The sequence below is a fragment of the Homo sapiens genome, chromosome X, assembly GCF_000001405.40.
Source record: "Homo sapiens chromosome X, GRCh38.p14 Primary Assembly".
Taxonomy (NCBI): domain Eukaryota; kingdom Metazoa; phylum Chordata; class Mammalia; order Primates; family Hominidae; genus Homo; species Homo sapiens.
In genome coordinates this window covers 145,246,906-145,256,458 of record NC_000023.11, presented here as the reverse complement: position 1 = coordinate 145,256,458, position 9,553 = coordinate 145,246,906, and the positions used below count along the sequence as shown (strand labels likewise).

General features: G+C 46.3%; 1 protein-coding gene across 1 annotated transcript; it reads right to left on the bottom strand.

Moving 5' to 3' along the window:
• SPANXN1 (SPANX family member N1) lies at positions 251-8,956 on the bottom strand. The gene is made up of 2 exons (NM_001009614.3): positions 8,798-8,956; positions 251-788 (listed from the first exon to the last, which is right to left on the bottom strand). Exons 1-2 carry the CDS (start codon positions 8,870-8,872, stop codon positions 645-647), a joined length of 219 nt encoding a protein of 72 aa, NP_001009614.1. The 5' UTR covers positions 8,873-8,956; the 3' UTR covers positions 251-644.

Here is a 9,553-nt window from a genome sequence, read left to right as displayed (position 1 = left end):
CATGACACCATATCAGAGAGTTGAAGAAAGACAGTATGATCTCTCCTGAGGCTTTTGCTTCTCTGAGTTCAGTGTTCTCAATATATCGTCCATTTGCTTCACCAGATCCATTCTCCACTCTACTTTGTGCTGCTAAAAATCTACTCATATAAACCATGGACTGTATTAATAAGCTGTCTTGTTCTATGGCTTCGGGTTAGTTTTAGTGAATGGTAGGTCCCTGCAGATCACTGGAGAAGGAGGAAAATGAAATCAGAATATTTATTTATCTGGCTCCTTCCTTGGAGAATTTCTGTAATTTCTGAAATTTCGATTTCATTTCTTGACCTAGATGATCGCTTTTTCTCTAGGTCTTCATCCTCCTGTGAAGATCCTTCAGGTAATTCTACGTCTTTATCCTCCTGTGAAGATCCTTCAGGTAAGTCTAGGTCTTCATCCTGCTTTGAAGATCCTTCAGGTAAGCCTAGGTCTTCATTCTGCTTTGAAGATCCTTCAGGTAAGTCTAGGTCTTCATCCTGCTTTGAAGATCCTTCAGCTGAGTCTAGGCCTTCAGGTAAGTCTAGGTCTTCATCCTGCTTTGAAGATCCTTCAGCTGAGTCTAGGCCTTCGTCCTCCTCCTCTTGGACTGGATTGATGGAGTTCTCTCAGGACTGGTCATTCTCCAGTTGATTTGAATGTATTTTCTTAGCTTTCCTGTAGCAAAACGCTAATACTGTTGAATATTCTGACGTTTTCATCTTTTTCAAACTCGGTTCGGGGGCTAAGTCCCTGTTTGGTGTCTCCTGCATCTGTTAAGAAAACAGGGAGAGGCCAGAAAGACATTATTTTGGGTGAATAGGATAGAGACTGGATAGCAAGGGGGGCTTTATGAGAAGGAATGCAGGTGGAGGAAGGGGTGTGTGCCAGAGAAGAACAAGGTTGAATCATAGGGTAGGGATCTATGGGGAAGAAGAAGAGGAGCATGGGTAGGGTCACCTGTTAGTCCAAAGTGCACCATTTTGTAAGTTCTTTGCCATTTTGCAGACCTTGGTCAAAGTGAAACATCCCATGGGGGTTCAGGCCGTGAGAAACATCCTGCCTAACCACCTGTCCACAAGGCGGACAAAGGCCCAACTAAAGAAACATCCCTATCATATCTTGCTTGGCAAAGTTCTAAGGAACACCACAATGATATTCCACCAGAAAAAGGGCCAAACCACCTGATCATAAGAACATCTTATCAATATCCTGCCTGGCAGCAAGCCATACTGCCCAGATCCCTCCCACCCATACCTGTAAGTACCCCAGGCTGTAAGCAGTGGTGGGATCTGGCATTAAGCTGTTCCCCCACTTCCACAAGTTTCTGCAATATTCCTGTGTTGCTGTTTGAGCTGCCCCATCTCTGTGTGTCTTTCTTTCATCCTCGCCTTCTCTTCAAAACCTGACATTTTGGTGTCAAAACCTGGAGTGGTTGGTGATTGGGTTCTAATGGGTAAGTTTTCTGCTGCAACCCAGAAAGCGAAAAGCAGCACAAACTAGACCGGGGCCTGCTTCCAGATCCTGTGATCTCCCTGTTCCTAGTTCCATTCCCCTTATACTCTAGTCTTCTCCAGACCTGGGATAACCTCCAGATATTGATCAAACTCTCGACCTTTTTCTTTTCCCTTCCTTCCCCTTTCTGCGCTGCTGCAACAAGGATCACCCCCATTTCTGGACATCATATCCAACACTGGGCGTCAATTAGTGGGTGAGTCTCCCTCTTCCTCCTTTCTGGATTCCTCTCTATTTCTGCCTGTTCTCCAAAAAACAATCAAGTGCTGGGTGAGAGGTCTCCCCAGTCACCAGGTGACCGCAGCCTCCCTTCTCAGGGGACAGCCTCAGAATGCTTGCCACTCTGGCCGCTCCGGCCTCTGGGGAGCATGAATAGTACGGGGCTGCCCCGACTCTCCAGGTCCCTTCTTCCAGGCGGAATCAAGTACTCACTTTCCTCTGGTGTATTCACTTCCCTCTGGAGAACTCACTCCGCTCTGGGATATTCACTCTCTTCCAGGGTACTCACTTTCCTTAGGGGTAGTCACTCCCATCCAGAGTATTCACTCCCCTCTTCCAAAAAAACAAAACATTCAACTTCCAAATTCAACATCATCTGAAAAACTTTCTCCAACACAAGGGTAAATAATCTGAAGTGCTTTGCTTATCTTCGTTCACAGCTCACTCTCCCTCTCTGCCAATCTTGTTCACCTTTTCAAATCTTCCTCCTCAAGGAGAAACCCCCCAAAATGCCTCCTCCTCCGGACAAGCCTTCCTCCTCTGAATTTCAACCTGGACAACAAACCCCTTCCTCTGCCTCCTGCCCACTCCCATTCCCTCCACCTTCTCCTTCGGATCCGGCTCCTCCACCCCCTTACTGTCACCCTCCATCCCCCTTCCTTCTCCACCTCAAACCAGGTCTCACACCCAACCCCCTTTCGCTAGAAACCAGGCACATGCCCAAAGGCCTTCCAAAGTCCTTCCCTTGCAGGAGGTTGCGAGGCCTGAAGACACAATCTGAATTCAAGTTCCCTAGCTGACTTCTCCCATATTGAAAAGAGACTTGACTCCTTTTCAATGGATCCTACCTCCTTCTGCAAGAAATTTCTGTACTTCCCTAAATCTTATGACCTTACCTGGCATGACGTATATGTCATCCTCTCCTCTACCCTCACCCTGGAGGACAGGGAACACATCTTTATTGGCACCCAGGCCCATGAGAACACCCTCCAACAAAAAGATGCTACTCACAACCCAATAGGGACCCTAGCTGTCCCCAGAACTGACCCCAATTGGAATTGTCAGGCAACTTCTGTAGACAGACAGAAACCAGGCCATATCATATCATGCCTTCTAGCTGGCATATATAATATCGCCCCTGATCTTTTCCTCTCCTGCCTTCCAAAGGTCACAACTAAATATGCCACCTTAAGCCCTAATAACAATAAGGGCAAAATCGACCTCCATTTACACTTTATCTCCCAGTCAGCCCCAGACATTTGAAAAAAAACATTAAAAAATGAAGGATGGCCCTCAAACCTCCCAAAGAGACTTAATCAAAGTGGCCTTTAAGGTCTTTAAGAATAGAGAGGAAGAACCAAAAACCTCAAACCTAAAGAAGGACCAGGCTAAATACCAAATGCTGGTGGCTGCCACTCAACAGGGTTCCCAAGGCATACAGAATTCCTCAACTTGGCGACAGTCAACTCCAGGAGCCTGTTATAAGTGCGTCCAACACGGACACTGGGAAAAAGCCTACCCTAATCCCAGGACATTCTGGAAACCTTGCCCCATCTGTGGTATCAAGCAACACTGGAAGTCAGACTGTGCTCAGTGAAACTCTTCATCCTGCTTCACCACCCGTACCTGAAGACAGACGGGGCCTAGAGTCCACCGCCCGTACTGCCATCACCACCTCGGAAGCCAGGGTAATTCTGTCAGTCTCTAGTAAGCCCATGTCTTTCCTATTGGATGCTCAATAGGACAACTAGTTACTCGGTTTTACCCAAATATTCTAGACCCTTTTTCCGTTTTTCAATCTCTATTGTGAGAGTCAATAGAATCCCCTCTAGGCACAGACTCGTCCTTTATTATGCAACCTATTCAACAGCCCCCTTCACCCACTCTTTCCTGGTTATCCCTCAGTCCCCTACCCCTATCTTGGGGTGGGACATATTAAGTAAATCCCAGACCTCCATGCAATGTGGCTCCTACAATTCTACCCCTTTTATTTTACTCTGACACCCAAACGCTTCCCTCTCCCCCTACTCATCCTCATTATCCACCCTGTTACCTTCTGTTAATTCTAAACTTTGGAATGTTTCTAAACCCACAATAGCCACACATCACATCCCAGTTAAAATAACCCTCCAGAACCCCTCCATTTTCCTTCATCAGTCTCAATATCCACTTAATCCAGCCGGTTTAAGGGGCCTCAATCCTATTTGTAAACTTTTGCAAGCTCAAATTCTCAAGCCCGTCAACTCTCCCCACAACACCCCTATTCTGGCTTTCCAGAAGACAGACAAGACTTACCCCTTTTTCCAGGATCTCCAAGTTGTTAACCAGGCAGTGGTACCAATCCATCTGGTGGTCTGCAACCCATATACTCTACTCTCTCATACTCCTACATCTACCACACACTCCTCTGTGTTGGAGCTAAAAGAGGCCTATTTCACTCTTCCCTTAAACCCAGCTTACCAAAGTCTCTTTGTTCTAACTTGGCCAAATCCTAATACTCACATGTCCACCCAACTAACATGGATTATACTCCCACAGGGGTTCCAGGATAGCCCCCATCTATTCAGACAGGCCCTCATCAAGGACCTAGCTGAACTTCCTCTTTTTCCTAGTGCCCTCCTCCAATATGTCAATGACCTCCTTCTCTGTAGCCCTTTCCTTAACCTGTCCATTCAACACACCACTCAGGTTTTAAACTGCTTCCATAATCGAGGAGATTGGGCCTAACCCACAAAATCTCAGGTAGCACAAACATGGGTTTGTCCTAACCCCTAATTCTCGAGCCATCCCAACCCAATGAAAGGAGCTAATTTGGGACATGCCCCTTCCCCACACAAAAAAAGGACCTCCTCTCCTTCTTGGGCCTTGTGGGATACTTTTGGCCATGAATTTCCAACTTTGACTTGCTGGCCAAGCCACTCTACATGGCCTCACATGGGCCCATCCTAAAATCCCCAAACCCAGCTTACCCCATCAATTCCCACTAAAACAAAACAAAACAAAACAAAAAACCAAAACCAAAACAAACAAACAAAAAACTTAAAAATGCCCTTTTAATGGCCCTGGCACCAGGACTGCCCAACCTCACCAAGCCCTTTACTTTGTATGTACATTCCGACCAAGGCCTTGTCCTTGGACTACTCTGTCAAACATACGGCGACGCCCCAGAAGCCATTGCACATCTCTCAAAACAACTGGACTCTGTCATCCAATGCTGGTCACTCTGACTAAAAATCTTGGGTGTGGCCACATCACTGGCCTTAGAGGCACAGAAACTCCCTCTTTACCAACACATTACTATTGCATCTTCCCATTACCTACAGGACCTCATAAACCATCAATTTCTTCTATGCCTCCCACCATCCTGCTTACAGCAGGTACATGCCTTATTCATAGGTAACCCTCTAATCACCTTCCAGAGATATAAAACTCTCAACCCAGCCACCCTCCTCCCTGTAAACACTTCCGACTCTAAGCTCTCTCACTCCTGTCTGGACCTCTTAGACTCCCTCTCCTCCCCCTTCCAACACATTTCAGATGCCTCTTTGCAGGGAACACATACACGGTTAGTTAATGGAAGCTCTTTTAGGGAGCCATGTCCAGCAGCTGGCTATTCCATCATTGCTGAAAATAAACTCCTAGAATCCAATGTTCTCCCACCCCATGCTGCCTCTCAACAGGCAAAGCTAGTTGCCCTAACCAGGGCCCTCACCCTAGCAAAGGGAAAGAGGGTCAACATTTACACCCATTCCAAATATGCATACCATGTCCTACAGTCTCATGCCTTCATCTGGCAGGAACAGGGTTTCCTAACTACAAAAGGAACCTCCACAAGAAATGGCAAACTTATACATAAGCTGCTGGGGGTAGATAAACTACCACTAAAGGCCACCATTATCCATTGCAAGGGACACCGAAAGGTTACAGATGCCAAAACCGAGAAAAACCTTTCAATAAATTTGGCAGCCTGGCAGGCAGCCCTTAAAACCCCATCGTTATTGCTCATTTTTTTCCAGCATACACCCTGTATATACCCAGCAGGAACAAACCCCACTTGCCCGGACTGGCGCCATTCAGGAAAAAATGGTTCCACCTCAATGATAAAAGTGTCTTGTCCAAGTTTAAAAAACCTTCTGAACTTTCATATGTGCACAACCATTTCCATGCCGGTTACTGCCCCTACTCCAGCTTTTAAAAACATACATATATTCTTCCTCCATGGCTGCCCATCTCAAAGATATTACTAAGGCATGTTCCCTTTGCACTCAAACTTCCCCTCAGGAAGCTATCAAACCACCTCCTTTCCAACACACGAGGCCTGAGGACACTTACCAGGGCAGGACTAGCAAATCAACATCACTCACATGCCCCCCAGAAAGTGATTCCTATACCTCACAATAGTAGATACATTCTCTGGATGAATAAAAGTTTTTCCCACCACCACCAAAAAGGCACACACCATCACGTCTATTCTCTTCACCCATATTATCCACCGGTTTAAACTCGCTCTTGCATCCAGTCAGACAATGGGTCAATTTGTTTCACAGTTCAGCCAACAGCTGGCAAAGGCTCTAAACATTAAATGGGCTTTCCATATTCCTTACCACTCCGAATCTTCAGGAAAAATTTTATAAAAAACAACTAACCAAACTCTCCCTAACGGTTAAAATGGCCTGGACTTCACTTCTCCCATTGTTCCTCATGCATTTATGAGTCATTTCCCAAAAGCTCCTCAGCCTAAGCCCATTTAAACTCATGTACAAATGCTCCATTTATCCTCCAAAATATCCCCGTATTTTCTCCCCCTTCTATATGGAATACTTGGCCGGCGTTACACCTCACCCAACATCTAATAAGACAGTACACAAATGCTTACTTGACCCAGCCTAAAAGTCCATCCTCAAAACACTCCTCCCTGTCCCTACAACCAGGGGACTGGGTCTGAATCACAGACTCCTCCTCCTCCCTCTCCAACCTAAGTGGAGGGGTTCTCACCAGGTGATGCTAACTACTCCCACAGCGCCAAAGCTAACATCCTTTCCACACTGAATGCACCATTTCAAACTAAAAAGAGCACCAGATCCACATCTAGAAATTTGTTCACCCCCAAATTATTCTCGTTCCCTCACAGGACCAGCCTCACTGTACTTAACAAGAATTCCAGAATTTGCCAATCCAGAACACCCTAGCCCATAACACTCTCCGTCGCCAATTTCCAATCTTTTATCTCCTACTTTGTTTCAGATCTTTCCTGGTTTCCCTTCCCTATGTCCCTGGATAGTCTATGCCAATTTCTCACACTAACGCAGGAGGTATGACTTTAGGGCACCTTCCAAAATTTCACTCCTACTCAAATCTCCTTTTTCTCCTTTGTCCTCTTTGTCTGTGGGATACTCTTAAGTCCCCACCCCCAACCTCTAGCAGTTGAGCCCCCTTCATCAGCCTCACACATTGCCCATTAAATCAGTCACACTCCCCTTTTACTTCCAACTGTTAAACTTGTTTGTCCACACAAATCCAGCAGTTCACATCCCTTCCTGTCAACCTGGCCACATAAACCTGGTCGAAAATAAACCTGCATCTCACCTACTTAACCAATTCATTCCCAAATCCTGTTTATAATCTTGCTCGGCTAATCACCTTTCCCCCCAATCCATTAAATCCACCCACACCATCACACACAGGGCTGTCACCCTCCTTCACCTCATAGCCTCTTAACTAAACATGTTACAACTCTGATTCCATAAAATACCTCTTACCAACGCCTCCCCTCTTGGCTAGAGCCACTCTTCATGTATCCAACTCAAGGGCGCTCCCTGGAAAACATGCACAAACAATTCCCTCAACTGCAACCTGTATCCTTCTGCCCTGTAAGGACCACAGTGGCTATTAGTTACAAAAACCCATTTCCCCCTCTCTCTCCAAAACCAAGCAGCCTTCACCTCCTCCACCACCAACATTTCCTATCAGGCCTTCAGTGGGGCTACCCTTGCTGGCAGCTATTGAACTTGGAGGAATATAAAAGTTAAAACAAAGTGTTTGTGGAGAATTCAACCCCCACCTTCTCATGGCTTGCCACCATAACCTACAACTTTCGTTAACCGCCATAATCTACAACTTTTTTGTTAATCTAAACATTAACATTTTGCCTAACAAGCAGACCATCCAGGTTCCTTTAGTAGCTTCTGTCTCATCTTCCTCCACACACACTAAGCAGGCTGTACATCTCATTCTAGTGTTAGCAGAACTAAGCATCTCTGATGCACTCAGCACTGGGATAGCAGGTGGTCCCTTTCTTAGGGCCGTTAATCTTCCTCCTCCTGATAGTACATTTGGCCGATGTATACTCACCTTCATATCCTGCTTTATCTCCCGAAGGCTAAACTCCCCTGTCCAGGCAGCCACCCAGCAACACATTGATACCATCCTTCTCCTCTGCCAAGTCCGGTACCAGTGCCTCCAGGAAAACAACTCTGAAGTCCAACACCCACTGCTTCAAAACCCAAACCCTGATTACAGCTCCCCTATTCGGCAGGAAGCAGCCAGATAATCAACAATGCCCCTCTTCCTTTTATACTAAAGTAGAAGGCAAGAATGTGAGTCCAAACCACCATTTAGTAAGCACCCTGCTATTTTTCAGACCTTGATCAAAGTGAAACATTCCACGGGGGTTCAGGCTGAGAAAAATCTTGCCTAATCATCGTAACACAAGACGGACAAAGGTCCAACTAAAGAAACTTTCCTATGGTATCTTGCTGGGCAAAGTTCCAAGAAACACCACAATGACATCCCACTGGAAAAAGGACCAAACAGCCTGATCATAAAAACATCTTATCAATATCCTGCCGGGCAGCAAGCCATACTGCCCAGGCCCCTCCCACCCCTACCTACAAGCACCCCAGGCTGTAAGCGGCGGTGGGCTCTGGCATTAAGCGGGTCTCCCACTTCCACAGGTGTCTGCAATATTCCTGTGTTGCTGTTTGAGCCGTCCCTTCTCTGTGTGTCTTTCTTTCACCCTCACCTTCCCTTCAAAACCTAACAATCTTACCTCATCATTTTCATTGTTGGATTCACAGGGGCTCTTCCTCTTCTCCCCATTGATGCTTGAAGTGGGCTGTTCCATGATTCTGGTTGGTTGTAGAATGTCTATAGTAGGCTCTTGTAGACTCCAGACTTGCACAGCTGTATTGAAGCTTCCCAGGAGGATGTCCCAGAGCTCTTGCCCTCCCTATATATACCCTCCTGGTGACAAGGCAAAGCCACACCCTTGAGCTTTGTTTGATCATACAGGCAGTGTCCCAGCCAATGGCAGTCCTAGGGTGGCTTTGACATCACGAAGCACCACTGCTGACCAATCCCTGGGCTTGTGGGGGAGGGGTGACAGGGATGTAGAGGAAACCAAATGCTGTTGTTGTTTCAGCATCCCCTGAAGATGCATCCCAAACCGATCTGCCGCCGCTCCTCATTTCTCCATGTTTAATGTTCATGGTTCACATGGAAGTCAGAGGATGATTCCTTCAAGCCCTTCCCCACAGCCATTCCTATGAAGTGATTCATTCTTTTGTCTTCCAGCCCTCACCATGACTTAGTATTTTAGATGTCTCACCTCAAATCCCCCAAGCTAGTGTGGCTACATGTAATTATTGGTGGAGATGTGAATTATCCCATTTCCCTCCTACAGTTCCTTCACATGCACCTCGAAGACCATTTACTTTTGGGCTACTGCCAGGCAAATTTCAACCCATGTTCTTTTACCCAATGTCCATGTAGTTCTTTTAAGTTTCCTATCTCCAATCTGAAATAA

Bases quoted from the DNA above. Each gene is read 5' to 3' on its own strand.
- SPANXN1 (NM_001009614.3), bottom strand. From the start codon at position 8,872: ATGGAACAGCCCACTTCAAGCATCAATGGGGAGAAGAGGAAGAGCCCC. The intron at 789-8,797 runs GTAAGATTGTTA...TTTTCTTAACAG, and splicing joins CCAACAATGAAAATGATGAG to ATGCAGGAGACACCAAACAG.